Source organism: Homo sapiens, chromosome 12, assembly GCF_000001405.40.
Source record: "Homo sapiens chromosome 12, GRCh38.p14 Primary Assembly".
In the NCBI taxonomy this organism is placed as follows: Eukaryota; Metazoa; Chordata; class Mammalia; order Primates; family Hominidae; genus Homo; species Homo sapiens.
Genome location: NC_000012.12, coordinates 63,884,056 through 63,901,974, shown reverse-complemented (window position 1 = coordinate 63,901,974; position 17,919 = coordinate 63,884,056). Strand labels below are relative to the sequence as shown.

General features: G+C 41.9%; 1 protein-coding gene and 1 pseudogene across 4 annotated transcripts in view, besides 1 other annotated feature; one reads left to right on the top strand and one right to left on the bottom strand.

Moving 5' to 3' along the window:
* Positions 1 to 17,919, bottom strand: part of SRGAP1 (SLIT-ROBO Rho GTPase activating protein 1) — a 317,518-nt gene that overhangs the window by 260,243 nt on the left and 39,356 nt on the right. The window lies entirely within an intron of this gene.
* Positions 3,960 to 4,160: a silencer, noted in NCBI's record as "peak1758 fragment used in MPRA reporter construct". NCBI's record gives its function as "represses an SCP1 promoter by STARR-seq MPRAs in K562 erythroleukemia cells {active_cell/tissue: K562}" and the evidence as "EXISTENCE:reporter gene assay evidence [ECO:0000049][PMID:32103011]".
* Positions 13,377 to 14,596, top strand: LOC100419700 (MIA SH3 domain ER export factor 2 pseudogene; annotated as a pseudogene).

Sequence of the window (17,919 nt, the reverse complement as noted above, 5' to 3'; positions counted from 1 at the left end):
AAGCTTGCAAGCCAAGTCCAGTGAGCTGCCAATCCCTGGTTTAAATTTTCATGAAGAACAATGTTAGGTGACTTATTGCATAAAGATGATGTTAAATTAAACTCGACAACCTACAGGGCTTAAACAATTCTAATTTAGAGTTCAAGCTTGATTATTACTCATGTGGGTAGAAACTTGATGATAATCCAGTTAATTTTAAAATCTCATTAATTTGTAAATGCCACCCATCAAATGCTAGAGTCTAGCTTTCTTCCTCAAAAAGTTGGGAGGCCAAACTGTGGTTAGTAGCAGTTTGTCCCATTAAAGCTCAGACAATCCAGTTGGGGAGGTATGACTAAAAACAAACAAGATGTGCAAAACAATATGTGATTAAGGGCTAACCTGTTGTGACGTCAATGATGGATAGGCCAAGATTATGGAGCGCTCAGGCTGAGCAGGAACAACCAGAAAGAAATGGCACTGTGTGTGGACAAAGTAACATTTTGCTCAGCTTTAAAGCACAAGTAGAATTCAGATTACAGGGGAAGGAGGAACAAGCTATAATAAAGGCAGAAAGACAGGGGTGAGCTCAGCATGTACCAAAATCAGACCAGACAATACAACTCAACAGGGAGACTTTACATTTTGGAGAACTGGGGAAAATAAACTTGCATAAACATGGTGCAGGACTGGGAATGGCTCATTTTTTCTTTACAGATTTATCCAGTGTTGAAATTATTTGCCCTGGGGTTCCTCACCTCTTAGTATGGAGAAGCAAGAACAAACCATATTAGGAATACTGCTTTTGAAGAGCAACTATGAGGTTTCTCCAGGGCAAGGACCTTAATTCTATTAACCTTTGAATTCTTAGCACCTGGGACAGTAACTGGCACATAGTAAATAAGTGTTTCCAAAATGCCTGGCAAATAAATGACTGAACAGCCACATAGCAGCAACCCAAACCAGCAGGTCAGAACTGTCTCTCATTTAAAAAAAAAAAAAATAGGTGCACAAGTGTGGTTGAGAGGTCATAATCTATAAACATTCTCAAAGAGATGTGTTTTATCACCTCTACTGCTCACTCCTGTTATACATAAACCTTTTCTTTAGCATACATTGTTTTTTTACTTAGGTTTGATAGTACAAAACCCTAAACAATAATTTCTTTGTTATTTATTTTTTGAGATAAGAGTCTCGCTCTGTCACCCAGGCTGGAATGCAGTGGCGTGATCTCAGCTCACTGCAAGCCTCTGCCTGCAGGTTCAAGCTATTCTATGCCTCAGACTCCCAAGTAGCTGGGACTACAGGTGCATGCCACCACACCTGGCTAATTTTTTGTGTTTTTAGTAGAGACAGCATTTTGCCATGTTGCCCAGGCTGGTCTCGAACTCCTGGCCTCATCTGATCCTCCCGCCTCATCCTCCCAAAGTGCTGCGATTACAGGTGTGAGCCACCAAACCCAGCCCTATTTTTAATTAGAGAAAAAAGCATGGCCGGGCACAGGTGGCTCACGCCTGTAATCCCAGCACTTTGGGAGGCTGAGGCGGGTGGACCACAAGGACAGGAGATTGATACTATCTGGCTAACACAGTGAAACTCTGTCTGTACCAAAAATACAAAAAATTAGCTGGGCGTGATGGCACGCACCTGTAGTCCCAGCTACTCAGGAGGCTGAGGCAGGAGAATCGCTTGAACCCGGGAGGCAGAGGCTGCAGTGAGCCGAGATCGTGCCACTGCACTCCAGCCTGGGTGAAAGAGCGAGGCTCCACCTCAAAAAAAAAAAAAAAAAAAGAAAAAGAAAAAGAAAAAGAAAAAAGCAAGGGCAAACGGAGACATAAGGCATTGCTTAGTTCATAACTGCAAAGCTGTTGTCATCAACATCATTTATTTACCAAATTAAAGGTAGAATAGTCCATTGGAGGTATCAGGAAATCTGTAACAGTTTAAGACTACAATTTATTACATGCTCTCCCCCAAAATAAACCCTGTTAAGAGCTCTATCAAGCTTCTAGAAAGTTTTTTGACAGTAACATGCCTTCTGCATCGAGTTCAGTGCCTCATATTTATTAGTGAGTTATTTCTAAAGGCAGATACACTGGAGCAAAGATACCTTACATTTATTATATAAGGAGTCACTTCATAGCTTCTATTTAAACTTACAAACATATATAATATAGAGATTTTTAAAATCACATGCACACATTGTTAAATTCGGTTTAGCCTAATGCTGCCTCCTTACATATTTTAAGTTTAGCCCAAGGTTTCCCTGTACATAATGAACTGTAACCTAACTGGATGTGTAAACAGTCTGTAACCTACTCTTGTGCCAATCACCAAGTTTTGGCCAATCAAAGGTGGCCAGCTGTTCAAACCATGTTCAAATAAGGCAAACGCGGAGGTGTTAACCAATCTGGGTGGTTCTGTATCTCACTTCCAATTTCTGTAGCCACTTTCCTTTTTCTGTCCATAACTTCCACCAAGTAGCTGTGCTGGAGTCTCTCTGAACCTATTCTGGTTCAGTAGCTGCACGACTGGTGAATTGTTCTTTGCTCAATTAAACTCTGTTAAATTTAATTGGTCTAAGGTTTTTCTTTTAACAACAAAAGTACAATTTGTAATATTCCTATTATGTAGCAAACCTGGTTCCTTTTTTTTTTTGGAGACAGGATCTCACTCTGTCACCCAGGCAGGAGTACAATGGCACTCCTACCTCTGCCTTTGGAGTAGCCGGGACCACAGGTGTATGCCACCACACCTAGCTAATTTTTGTATTTTTTGTAGAGACAAGGTTTCACTATGTTGCCCTGGCTGGTTTCAAATTCCTGAACTAAAGTGATCCACCCACCTCTGCCTCCCAAAGTGCTAGGAGTGCTGGGATTACAGGTGTGAGCCATCGTGCCCAGCCTGGTTCTATTTTTGAGAAGGTAAACTTCATTCTTGAGGAAGTTTTAAGGTATGGCATATCATACTTTAGTACTTTTTAATGTAATAATGGTAACTCAGCTGCTTCTAAGTAAGCTGGCAAAAACAATAGTGAAACTTAACCAATGACGTGATCAAAGAGGTAAGAAATGAAACATATGTCCTATCTTTTCCAATAGACTAAACTGGTCCAATTTAAAACAAAAAAGGCAAACACGTGAGGTTTCCTTAGCATTCCTTTTACCAAAAGGTATCTATGCATTCAAACTTAAATGTTTTCTGTCTTTTTAAAAATTTAAAACAATATCTAACAGTGGGAAATGTGACGATACTATAGAAATTAACTAAAATAACATCAATATACATTTAATAGCTTATAACCAATGCTTTGAGTCTTGATTAATACTATCATTTCAAATGATTCCAGATTGAATAATTCTGGATTGTTTGTAGAGTTTCCTTCTGTTTTGTAATATTTATGTAATGTAAATCTCCTAAAAGTCTCTGCAACACATTCAGTTTAAAACCTGGAATGATTTAAATTTTAATTTAAGGAAAGTTCCCATATTGGAACAGAGACAGAAGTGCCCAATGAAGTGTTCATTTTATCTGACAATTACCTTTTAAAATTATCAGAAGGGAATACATTAAATGTCCAAGGAAAATGTTCTCATTCAAGTTAACAATATGACTGTTCAGAATGAACACAGAATGCGTAATTCTCTTATAACTTAGAAATGGGATGTCCTGAGCTGACTGTACTATATTACATTCTATAACTGTGAAACCCAGCTCTCAGCCATATTGGTCTCCACATTTCTGAATGAATTAAAAGCCTTCCAACAAGCTTCCTTTCCACCACAGGAAATCCTGTTGGGAGTCCCCCCTGCAAGTTTGCGTCATGCTCACAGCTTTTCATTTTGTGTGCTTTGAAAGACCAACATTAGCTGTATTTCACAGGAATTTCTTCCTTTTCTCCCCCAGTAGTTTGCAGGATAAACTGGTTAGATAACAAAGTCAGCATAAATCGAGCTCTGCTTTCTTATCACAGTGAAGCAGCTGTGCCAAGGGTGTGAGACACCTCCACTCCATGTACCCAAAGCTTTCTTATTCTCAGTGTTTGAAATAGATTCAGCTTCAGGTGAGTGAGTCTTTTGTGCCTTCTTTTTCTCTGACTCCTATATTCATATCCAGAAATACCTATGAAAAACATCAAAGAAAAAAATCTATCTCCCTCCCCCAAATCCAAAGGCTAATCAAAATAAAATCCCCAGAAAGACTGGATTAGTTAACTGTGTTCTCAAATTGAATTTGAGCTTCCGAATAAAGACACATGAAAATGCAATTAAATTAAATCTAATGCAGAAACATTTTACTAAGTTGAGAGGCACCACAATTTTAATAAAACTGTGGGAAATTATGCTATTTTAAGACACATCTGAAATAGCAGACAAGGTAAATTGAGGTTGTTACCAAAAGAATTCTTGAGAGCATGTCGGAGTTACGGCCTAAATAGAAGGCTAACTGAATTCCTTTTAGAGGAATTTTTTTCACCTCTTTCCATAGACTATACACAAATTTCATTGATGAACATGAAAATATCCCTTTGTGCCAAATAAAAGTCATTGCAATAATGAAAGAGTAGGAAAGTTGAAAGTACAGCTGACATGTCCAAACATTATTCTCATAAGCATTGCTCTAGTTGCTCTAGTTCTCATAATATTATCAAGCCTAAATTTGGCTGCACATATTCTTATGCTAACATATTAAGCTAATTTCCAAACAAAAGCAATTATTTCAATATCTATTCCTATATAAACCACATCAAATAGCACATATGTTCTGGCAATAGGTGTCAGATGATAAGATCTTTTATTTAAAAACAGAAAATCTAACAAAATGGACATTCAATGGTTCCATTTGCATCACAAAATGTGAGTAACTTAATGACTTCTTCCTAAATGTCAACTAAGATTCAATTTATGTCTATTATATAAAAAGAGGTCCTTGAGATCTGCCCCTGTTGTTGTCATTCTCCAAAATACTGACACTCATCTCCCTCGTGTAGCCCCATGGAGAGATTCACTAGTCTTCTTTGGGAGCAAGGTTCTCTGATCAAATAAATTTTGGGAACGAAACCCAGGGTAAAGTATTTTCTAAATGTAATTTCGTCACAGAACTAGGTTTCCCAAATTTATCTGGCTATAGGACCTTCTTTCCAAGTAATTCCAAATTAACAACCCACAGCGTTAGCATTCTTGGGAAGACACTGGGAAATGTTGCCTTAAAGAAAAGACGGTAAAGTGATGGCTCATGGGCCAGCGTCAGCCCACAAACATATTCTGTCTGGTATACACAAGAGTTTTAAATAAAAACTAAGCCAATACTTGACATTTGGAGATTTCATATAAACATCATTTACTAATACTCCATTCCCACATGATTGTAACTGGCTAAATGATGCTTGGCAATGGATTTAGACCACTTAGACAGGGTACACATTCTCCAGTCTACTTAAATCCTTTCTATTCTCTGCAATCTCTTACCCACAGTCTGCCTTATGCCTGTGTATTACCTGCCTGCCTCTCCTAGGCATTTATTTGCCTTTGAGACCCTGTGCAGAGGATAGGGTAACATGGAGAAAGAACCACATACCAGCTTCCCTGAGTTGTTCAACTATAGGTAAGAAAGTGTCCCTCTAGTAAACCTCAAAACTTTGGCTGTCACACATTCTATCTTTTGGTGATCAAGATCTGTGTCTGGACTTTATACTCCTAACAGGTAATTCACTAAATTATTAATACATCACCATCGTATTATTATTAACAAGAATAATTTATAAGGAACTTACTAAGTTCTAGCCACTAGGCCAAGTACATGGATAATAGATCATTTAACCCCCACAAAACTCTATGGCATATGTCCTTTTATATAAATCCCCCTCCCTCCCATTTATGGATGATAAAATAAGGTTAGACTTGCCAAGGTCACACTATGAGTATGTGGCAGAGCTGGCAGAGCAAGGTGATTGTCTCCAGAGCCCACAGTCATAACCATAACAGCACATTGAGTCTTATAAGAAAATCTGACTGAGTGAAGAGCAAACCTGAGCAGGAAGTTTGGCAGAAGGCAATGTTTTGTTGCATGATACACTAAAGAATAAAGGCACAGCTGATTGCAGGGTGCAGAATGCTCCCACAGAGCAAAAGAATTTGAGACACTATTCCTTGAATTCCCCATGAAGCAAAGAGGCAAAGATCATCAAGTATTAATATTTTTTAGTTGCTAACGAAGTTAACAATAACCCCAACTTCTATCTTTGTCTACGTCATCACTTTAGGTATAACTGGAAGCATTTTACGGACATTGTAGGAGATGTAACCTCATTTTACCCAAAGGAAATGGGAGGTTACTAGGTTAAAGGCTCTGCCTGAGACCTTACAGCTTATAGAACAAGGCAAGTCGTGAATGTGGAGTTCAAATTCAGGTATCTCACTTCTAGATCTAGACTCATTATAAGTGACTTTGGCATAAATAGGGATAGAACTGTGTTGTCTAATAGACATTTCTATGATGATGGCAATGTTATATATCTGCTCTGTCCAGTACATTTCCAAATTTGGTTGTGTGGCCAGAGAACTAAATTTTTAATTATTTTTAAATAATGTTAATTCTAATTTAAGTGGTCAAATGTGGCTAGTTACTACTGTATTGGACGGCAGAGGGCTAAACATCCCATAAACCTTTTCAACCACACTTCCTGCATGTGTACCAAGAAATATACTTTGAATGCTTGATAACTCCCATATGAGATAAGCTATTGATCAGAAGGAGCCAAAGAAGGCTCTAGTCTTCAGTTGAACACTAAATTTTATATTAAGCTACCAAGCCATATCTTGAAAAATATGGCGATCATAAAAAAGTCAGGAAACAACAGGTGCTGGAGAGGATGTGCAGAAATAGGAACACTTTTACATTGTTGATGGGACTGTAAACTAGTTCGACCATTGTGGAAGACAGTGTGGCGATTCCTCAAGGATCTAGAACTAGAAATACCATTTGACCCAGCCATCCCATCACTGGGTATAGACCCAAAGGATTATAAATCATGCTGCTGCTGCTATAAAGGCACATGCACATGTGTGTTTATTGCAGCACTATTCACAATAGCAAAGACTTGGAACCAACCCAAATGTCCATCAATGATAGACTGGATTAAGAAAATGTGGCACATATACACCACGGAATACTATGCAGCCATAAAAAAGGATGAGTTCATGTCCTTTGTAGGGACATGGATGAAGCTGGAAACCATCATTCTCAGCAAACTATCGCAAGAACAAAAAACCAAACACCGTATGTTCTCACTCATAGGTGGGAATTGAACAATGAGAACACATGGACACAAGAAGGGGAACATCACACACCGGGGCCTGTCGTGGGGTGGGGAAGTGGGGAGGGACAATATTAGGAGATATAACTAATGTAAATGGAGAGTTAATGAGTGCAGCACACCAACATGGCACATATATACATATGTAACAAACCTGCATGTTGTGCACATGTACCCTAGAACTTGAAGTATAATTAAAAAAAAAAAAAGAGAGTGAGCTACCTGAAGGAGCATTTGGGGTAGGATGCTACAATGAGCGAAGAGACTTTTACCAATATTAGAGCAATAACTGTGACAGGGAAAAGGGGAAGAGTTGCTAGGAGGGGGAGAGTGTGAGAGTGATATGTTGAGAAGCAGCAGCACAAATGTTACCTATTTCACAATTTTAACTACTCTGATGAAACGGTCTTACTGAAGTGTGGTGAAAGCAAATGTCATTAAAAATCTGTACAGTACTTTAAAAAAAAAAGAAAGAAAAATAGCAGAGTGCCTTGAACACAGCAAATGTTCAACAAATGTTTACTTCAGTAAACAAATGAAGGCACCGGGCGTAGTGGCTCACGCCTGTAATCCCAGCACTTTGGGAGGCTGAGGCAGGCAGATCACCTGAGGTCAGGAGTTCGAGACAGCCTGGCCAACATGGCGAAACCCCGTCTCTACTAAAAAATACAAAAATTAGCCGGGTGTGGTGGCGGATGCCTGTAGTCCCAGCTACTTGAGAGGCCGAGGCAGGAGAATCACTTGAACCCAGGAGACGGAGGTTGCAGTGAGCCAAGATTGTGCTACGGCACTGAAGCCTGGGCAACAGAGCAAGACTCTGTCTCAAAAACAAACAAACAAAAATGAAGACTTTTGTTTCTTAACATGCAAAAGAACTCCATAGTAATGTCAGATGTAATTAGAGTAACAAAGCTCTGACAAATAGTGGATATTAAAATGCATTAAAATGTTCAGATCTAGTAAAAGTAAAGTGTAACAGACTTAGTGATGCAAGGATTTGTCCAAGTCAGTCAGAGAGGGACTTTGGGCAAGTCACTTGGCCTCTCTAGTTTCAGTTTACTTTTCTGTAAAATGAGAGGATAGGACCATTCATTCCTAGGCATTTTCAGCTGTCAAATTCTAGCTGTCAGGCATGTCTGAGGCACTCAATAAGCCTTTTCTATTTGGTGACTGTAGCTGAGAACAGCTTAAAACTATAAAATCAGATCCCGAAACTTACTTTATTCTTTTCCCTGAAACCCTTGCCACCTTGCAGAGTTATTAATAAAGAACAGTACATTCCAGTCTCTTCTTAGCCAGGGATGGCCCCAGCTGCCTGACACACATATAATGACTACTAAGCCTTACATTTGCAAAGCTTGGCTTTCTTATGATAATGGACTCAGCACAGTTCTTCTCAGTCTTCACTTTCTTTATTCATTTACTATAGCTGAAAAGTAAAGACTCCTCCATTTAAGCCCAAAAATGACAACCTGTTTTTAGTTGACATATACAACATGCATTTTCCAATCAACTAAACAATGTCTAATTGGGGAGTGGGCTGGGAAAAACAGCATAATCACCGTCTAACTATAGCAGCAAAAGATTGGATTCATGTAGCAATAGCTTAGATATGTCGCACAGAATTCCAAAGATCCTAATTTGGTACTTAAATTTACTGTGTTGCTCTTCTTCTAAATACCTACATAACTGAACAGCCGAGCTCAGAGGGCATGCAATCAAGGGCATAGCAAACAACTTCAAAGCCTTGGCACCACTTAGGTTAATAATATATAATTGCTACAATTTTTTTTTTAGCACAGTAGTTTTAATTAAATGCGCTACAGTCTCTACCTACCTACTTATTTTCAACCATAGGCAGCCATTTCGCACTCCGAATTGAGGCATCTAGATTGTGCCCTTTTTCAAAAAGCATGCATCTCCTCAATAACGTTTCTCATAATGCTGGCTTAGAGTGGAGAGACAGCCACTTTCTAAGTCCAGCTTTGGAGACAGGATTCAAAGACAGAGTAAGCTATAGCTTTAAAGAGCTACATATGGTGCTTATCATGGTTTTGCAAATCAGGTGCTATAACTTCCCATACTGTAACTCACAAGAGGCAGAGAACATGGGAAAGGAAAGGGAGGGGAGAAAAAAAGACCACTTTTATTCTGACTGTTAAAATATACAAGCATCTCAAAAACATTTTCTTTCTAACTCTAAAAGATAAAGAGAAAAGTGAGAGATGAATATGTTCAATTCAACAATATCATTACATAGAAGGCATTTGTCTAGAATATTTTTAATGATTTTCATAATGAAACTAGTAAGAATGATTCCATGTGAACAATGATTATTACATATTTTATGACTCTTCATTATTTTTCAGGGCTGTTTTTCATTAGCCCTATTTGAGATTAAACTTACAGATATGGCAGTAAGCACCAGAAAAACTGAAAACAGAACATTTAAAAATGGTTGACCCTGTAATTCAAGACTAGAGGTAGGGAAGGAGGGAATGGTTGCTTTTCATTAAAAACTTATTTATCTATTTTGTTTTTAAATTATGTGCATATATTACTTTGATCATAGTTTTTTGTTTAAGTTACATAATTGAATCTGGAAAAAGAGTCGTATGGTAGAATTTCTGGAATGAATATTTTTTCTACGACCTTCATCTCTTTTCTTTTTTCTTTTTTTCTTTTTTTTTTTTTTTTGAGACAGTCTTGCTCTGTGGCCCAGGATGGAGTGGAGTAGTACAGTCTCAGCTCACTGCAGCCTCTGCCTCCTGGGTTCAAGCAAATGTCATGCCTCAGCCCCACAGTAGCTGGAACTATAGGTGTCTGCCACCACACCCAGCTAATTTTTGTATTTTTAGTAGAGATGGGGTTTTACTATGTTGGCCAGGCTGGTCTCGAACTCCTGGCCTCAAGTGATCCTCCCACCTCGGTCTCCCAAAGTACTGGGATTACAGGTGTGAACCACCATGCCTGGCTGCATAATTTTTTTCAAGGGGGACATAGATTTGCGTCCTTTGTCAGTATTTTTACTGAATATACTAATATGTTTCAAATGTTAATGACCCATCAATAGTTTCCATCAGCTCAACAAAGCATGCCCTCCATGCTAGCAGTATGTGAAGGGATTTACTAGGTGCTACGGACCCAACCAGATCCTAAGTAATCCCCTCCCAGCTGTAAACCAACAGGTACTAAGAGAAATATGGGCCAGCCACAGAAGTGGTTCAGAGGAGAGAGTGATCAGTTTGGATGGAAGTCAAAATAACTTCAAGAGAAATGGCTGAACTAATGAATGCATGGTGTGGAGATGGTAGGAAAGAACGGTATGAAGGCAGGAGACTGGGTAGGTCTCTCTCTTGCAGAATAAGTACACTGGGCACACCCGTAGGACAGGCAGTGACAGTAACAGAGCACTGCTCCATGTCAGCAGGGGAGGAGTTTCCTCGGATAACAAGAACTCAGGTGTGGCGGTGAAGGCCACTGGCCTTGGTAGTGAGGAGCGTCTAATAAAGGCATCCAAGGCCTCCATGAGTGTGGAGGAATGAGCCAGAGCTATGCATGGGAGTTGCAAGGAACAAGAGAGGGCAAGATCCAGCCAGGTGGCCAGACCCCTGAAGAGGAAGGGCTTCTGTACAAGGAATAAAAAGAAGGTGTCTAGAATCAGCAACATGGAACTAGGCAGGGCCATTACCTCCTCCCAGCCTTGGGAAAGCACAGAGCTTCCTTTAGAAAAGGCTACCAGAGATGTGTTCTCCTTTGCGCAGGGAGAACAAGATGGTGGAAACATAAAGTTTTGAAGGAACAGTCTGTGAAGAGGGTCAAGAGATGGGGGCATTTAACTTACAACAGAACCAGTTCTCCACAGGGCCCAGTGCAAAAGGACAGGAAAGGGACCAGGCAGACAGCCTATCACTGCCCGTCTCCTGGGGCCTGCAGAAACCCAGGTGAAGAGCTTTGATTTTGCAGGGATGGGGGCTCAGGCAGGCCTGTCCTGGGGGAGCTCAGCAGGTGTCATCTAGACATGGGCTCCTTTCCTTCCTCATCCTAGATGCAGCTGGTCACTGCGGAGGAGAGGAGTAACTGAGGGCTGGGCACAGGGCCCACACCCCACAACTCACCTTACATGGCTCACACTACAAATTCCTGTAAATAGCTTCAATTTCAGTGGTCAGCTGCTTTTCTAGCTTCCCACAACAAAACCCCACAACCTTCTTAATTAACATGTTGTGGTTTTTTTCCTCCACTGTGGAAGCAAAACTCAAACTTTTGCTAGTGCCCACTGCAGCGAATGGCATGGAGGAGGGAAAAGTAGACACTTTAGGGAGAAGCATCCATTCACATGCTCCACTCACCTACACCCTCACTACCCGCTTACTCTCTCCTGCCTTTGGCCTCTCTCCAGCTACACTTGTTTCTAAAGTATAAGCGTGGCTCTTCAAAAACAAACGGTTTCACGCTTTTCTGGTAAAAACAGCACTAACTTCTTGGGGTTGAGTGGGAGAGGTGTGAGCTAAGAATAACGGTGAGTTATTTTTCCCCTGCTCTGGGCCAGGTATCAGGGCCTGGATTACACCAGAAGTACCTGCAAAGTCAAGAAACATGATAAATGTGAATCTGCAGCAATCTAAAAGAGATAGAAAGGAAAGAAGCTACAGACCAGTTAGGAAGAAACGACATGTCATGGAACAAACAGATAAAGCAAATGAATGATTAACCCATGGTAAATAAATACTAAATAACCATCAGAAATTCTTTTTCTTTCTTTTTTTTTTTGAGACTGAGTCTCGCTCTGTCACCCAGGCTGGAATGCAGTGGTGCAATCTTGGCTCACTGCAACCGCTGCCTCCCGGGGTCAAGTGATTCTCCTGCCTCAGCCTCCTGAGTAGCTGGGATTACAGGCGCTTCACACCACACCCGGCTAATTTTTGTATTCTTAGTAGAGACAGGGTTTCACTGTATTGGTCAGGCTGGTCTTGAACTCCTGCCCTCATGATCTGCCTGCCTTGGCCTCCCAAAGTGCTGGGATTACAGGCGTGAGCCACCACACTCGGCCGGATTTTTTTTTAAAGCCCCCTAAGGCCATTGATATTCTCTCTGTAGCATCAACTCTATTGCATTGGATTCCACTGTTTCCACACGGCATTGTAGAAAAGTCTATGGACTCCCATTTTCTAACAGCAGCAGCAGCTGCTCCTATGACTCACTACTTAGACTGAGTATTCACACAAGATATGCTGTTTTCAAATCTACTTGAGTAGAGGAATAGGAACGGGGATCACCCAGGCCAGAAGCTGTTGCCGCCTCTTCTCTCCACCTCCCAGCACAGAATTCTGAAAGGAGGTGAAAGCTCTCTGGTAGGCTTGGTATGCTGTCAGCAGGGCATTATGTGTGAACCTTCAGGGACAGCAAATGTGGCTTTGTCCCTGTCACCCAATCACTCACTCGTCCTTCCATAAAATGCATGGAGCACTGAGCCCCCACTCTATGCTTGGCCCTGCCCTGAGAACTGCTGTCACAGGGGTGAGGAGCTTGCAGATAGATATTGTCCCCATGTGTGCTTTCAGGGGATGGGCTTTCCAGGGAGAGGGAACAGCATGTGCAGATGATGAGGTGTGGCCTCAAGGGCTACAGAAAACAAAGCTCAAGAAGTGGAAAGCAGCAGCTATGGGTAGGGTTAAGGGTGTGAGTTTCTCCTGGACCAGGCCTGCACCCTCATCGACCCTCTCCACTCATGGTCCATTCTGGCTGCCGGGTGCAACCTTGGTTTGGGGCAGATCCCTGCCCAATATTCTTGTTGTGTTGTGGCCCAGCTGTGGCAGCTTGGGGTGTTACAGAGAAACTGTCCTGCCATGAGCCATACATTTGGCCAACCTGTGATACAATGCATTGTTTTGTGCAGAATTATCTAATGATGTGGGCCCAAGTCTTGTCCTCCTTGATTATTAACAGAAGGTGGTACTATGTGCTGGGATAGCTGGTGTGTTAACAATTCCCTTAGCTTAGGCAGAATTTCTCAGTAGGTAGAAACAAACAAACAAAAAATAAAACCTTTCTACACAGAGAAATGAGAACATGCCATTAGAGCTCAGCACTAATTCTAGTAAAAGTAAAGCTCTCGTCAGGTTTTACCCCGTTATGGAAGAAGATACAAGCCTAGAATGTCAGATCCTTGAACATGTCCAACCATGTGATCTGGTGCATCTCGGGTTTATAATAAACCAATTTGGGAAAGAAAAATCACCATGTACAGATTAAGATGAGCCGATGTCTGATACTGCAAGAAAGAGCTAATCTCTATATGCAGAAACTAAATCCATAAAGACACAAGTGGAAAAAATACAATAAGCTTAATACTATTAAGGGCAAAAGGAAAAAAAACTCAGGGTTTTCATACAGAGCTCTAGAGTCTCTACAGAAGGTCAGATGAAGACCGGAGGAAGCTGTGTGAAAGGTTAAAGACCTAGCAGCTCCCCTTGGAGAAGAGAACACAGTTGGTAACTGGGACACAGGAGACAGAGACCATGTGGATGAGCAGCAAGAGAAGCCAGGAGGAAACCGACAGATGCTGCCGGGTTGTGTGCATCTCAACACCCAGAAGAAAGAGAAAAATAAACTCTATGCCAACATTTCTAAAAAAGAGGACACAAAAACTGACCTGACAGATCATCTTAACAAGCTTTGGATTGAGGGAACCTCAACTGAAAGTACAGTTCAAAATCTTCAGGACAGAGGAAAGGAAATGAATGAACGTTGTCAGAAAGAAATGGAGCTTCTCAGGATATTACCTGTCAAGGCAGATCATGACTTGGAACAAGAAGAGGAAAGTTCTGAAGCAAAAGACAAGATAAGCCATGAGGATGAAGAGCTGAAGACCTTCGAAAGTAATTCAAAGACCTTGAAGAAAGGGTGGAAGGAACAATTTCTTCTTATCATCTTAGATTCTGTTCCTTGAACTAACAGCACATGATTCCCGGGGGAGAGTGTGGGAGGCTAGACAAAACCTTTTCATCTCAAGGGTGGAGGCTGCAGACCTAAGACAATTCAAACAGCCATTCAACTCGAGTTTCTAGAAGTGATGATCCACCTGATGTTCCAAGTGGCACAGGTGTCAGGGAGCAAATGGCCCCTGGGAAATGGTTCACATCTTCAAAGACAGGAGGGTCTCCCACCCTTCCCCTCAGACTTGCTTCTCGGCTGCAAAGCTTTTTCCTTCTTCCTCCATTGCCAAACCCAGTGTTTCCAGTGGATCCAAATGGGGAATTTATGGCCAGAGGGCTCAGATAGCATGGAAACCCCTCTCCTTCGGAAAGTGTGAATAACCGCTGTCCCCCAACACCAATCCCCCACTCCCCTGCCATGAGGTGGCTTCCCATCAAGGGGCTCCTGTGCTTATCCTTCCTTATGAGCTAGATTTTCCCTGGACAACCCCATGTAGAAAACGGAAGTGAGTTGCCTTCTGGGGTCACTGAGCCTCCACATGACCCCACTGGTTAAAATCATTAAATCTGGCCAGGCACGGTGGCTCACGCCTGTAATCCCAGCACTTTGGGAGGCTGAAGCAGGTGGATCACCTGAGATCAGGAGTTCAAGACCAGCCTGGCCAACATGGTGAAACCCTATCTCTACTAAAAATACAAAAATAAGCCAGGCATGGTGGCGGATGCCTGTAATCCCAGCTACTTGGTAGACTGAAGCAGAAGAATTGCTTGAACCCAGGAGGAGGAGGTTGCAGTGAGCCAAGATCACGCCATTGCACTCTAGCCTGGGAGACAGAGCGAGACTCCATCTCAAAAACAAAAACAAAAATCCTTAAATCCTCTGGAGGGGGTCTTTGCTTATTCTTTCTTCTGAAGTTGTTTCTGAATTATTTAAATTCAGTAACAAAAAAAAATCCCTTTTAAATGTGTTTTGGCCAGACGTGGTGTCTCACGCCTGTAATCCCAGCATTTTGGGAGGCCAAGGCGAAGGATGGCTTGAGCTCAGGAGTTTGAGACCAGCCTGGGGAACATGGCAGAATCCCATATCTACAAAAAATAAAAAAATTAGCTGGGCGCACACCTGTAGTCCCAGCTACTTGGGAGGCTGAAGTGGGAGGATCGCCTGAGCCCAGGAAAGTCAAGGCTGAGTGAGCCAAGATTGTGCCTGGACTCCAGCCTGGACGACAAGGTGAGACTGTCTTAAAAAAATAAAAATAAATAAGTACATAAAATGGTTCATTTCTAAAATAAAAAAGTAAAAAAAAGGGTTTTTACTTTGGCTCAAATTACAACTTCATATAAATTTTAGACTAATAAAGAGAATATTTAAGTTATTTTCATTGGCCAGGCACGATGGCTCATGCCTCTAATCCCAGTACCTTGAGAGGCCAAAGGGCGTGGATCACTTGAGCTCCGGAGCTTGAGACCAGTCTGGCCAACATGGTTAAACCCCATCTCTACTAAAAATACAAAAAATTAGACAGGCGTGGTGGCACATGCCTGTAGCCCCAGCTACTCAAGAGGCTGAGGCAGGAGAATTGCTTGAACCTGGGAGGCGAAGGTTGCAGTGAGCTGAGATTGCGCCGCTGCACTCCAGCCTGGGCAGCGGAGTGAGACTCGGTCTCCAAAGGAAAAAAAAATTATTTTGATTATACTATATTTTATAGAAAATGTAAGATCCAAACTTTAATCCAATGAGCCAGACAGATTTCCTGAACAACATATTATCCATGATCAGTTCGGATATGAGGACATTTGAAATAGCAAAATGCTTTTCTTCCCACCGATGATTCTACATAGCACAACAGCAGGAGAAAAGTGAAAGTTGGTCTCTGTGATATTATGATTTTGTGTGTGTGTAGGCATTCATCCATGGTTCCTGGCTCATAACTTCCAATAGCCCTTGGTGCAGTCATTTGTTATAGCCTTGGGGCACTTCAGGCATCAGGAGCAGACCCTAGAAAACAGAATCTCTCTCTCTGAACTTCTCCTGTTTTTCTTCTACTTGCCCAGGCAGGACTCTAACCTGATTGTGGGTCAAAAAACTCTCATTCCTGAGAGGGTCTTGCCCCGTACCTTCAAGGAAAGAATGCTGTACAGAGAGGCCAAGAAGAATTTAAACAGACAAGCCTTGCTGGATTCCTCCACTCAGTCTGTTAGTCTGAGATCATACCCTTTTTGTTCAATCACATTTCTACATGGTTGTCAATCATGCCTATGTAATGAAGCCTCCACAGAAACCCAAGAGAGTGTGGGGAGCTTCTGGACAGCTGAACATGTAGAGGTTCCTGGAGCGTGGTGCCCAGGGAAGGCATGGAAGCTCTGCGTGCCTTACTCCATACCTCGCCCTTGGCATCTCTTCATCTGTATCCTTTGTAATATCCTTTATAATAAACCAGTAAGCGTGTTTCCCTAAGTTCTGTGAGCCACTCCAGCAAATTAATTGAACCAAAAAAGGAAAGTCATAAGAACCCCAAGTTGAATCTGGTTGGTCAGAGGTTCTGGAGGCCTGGACTTCCTGGTGTCTGCTGCTTGTTGGTGGGGAAAAACTCTCACACATTTGGTCACGGAAGTCTTCTGTGTTGATTGTTGTAGTGTGAGAGTAGAGGAAAAACAGTTTGAGAGTTTTTCCTAAACAGCCTCCATAAACTTTAGTGGATTTTTAAAATCTACTCAAATAAGAATGGTGGGTGCGGTGGCTCACGCCTGTAATCCCAGCACTTTGGGAGGCCGAGGCGGGCGGATCACGAGGTCAGGAGATCGAGGCCATCCTGGCTAATGCGGTGAAACCCCGTCTCTACTAAAAATACAGAAAAATTAGCTGGGTGTGGTGGCGGGCGCCTGTAGTCCCAGCTACTCCGGAGGCTGAGGCAGGAGAATGGCCTTGAACCTGGGTGGAGCTTGCAGTGAGCCGAGATCGCGCCACTTCACTCCAGCCTGGGCGACAGAGCAAGACTCCATCTCAAAAAAAAAAAAAAAAAAAAGAATGGTGGTGACCAGAGACTGGGAAGCGGGAAGAGGGGAGAGGTTGGTCAATGGGTACAAAGTTACAATTAGGTACGGGGAATAAATTCTGGTGTTCTACTGCACAGCAGGGTGATTACAGTTAACAGTAAAATACTGCATGCATACTACCAAATAGCTAGAAGAGAGGCTTTTGAATGTTCTCACCACAAAGAAACAATAAATACATAAGGTGCTGGGCGCACTAACTACCCTGGCTAGATCATTATACAACACAGGTATGTACTGAAACATCAAATTGTACCCAATAAATATGTATAACTACAATGCATCAATTTAAAAATATACAAAATTTAAAAAATCTACTCAAACAATGTAGGAATCCAAAAGGATTTATATTCCACTATGACATGTAGACGTCTCAGTGACTAATGCTCTCCATACTTCCTTTTTTTGAGTCGGAGTCTTACTCCATCACCCAGGCTAGAGTGTGAAGTGGCATGATCTCGGCTCACTACAACCTCTGCCTCCTGGGATCAAGCGATTCTCCTGCCTCAGCCTCCCGAGTAGCTGGGATTACAGGCATGCGCCACCACACCCAGCTAATTTTTGTATTTTTAGTAGAGACGGGGTTTCACCATGTTGGCCCGGCTGGTCTCAAACTCCTGACCTCAAGTGATCCGC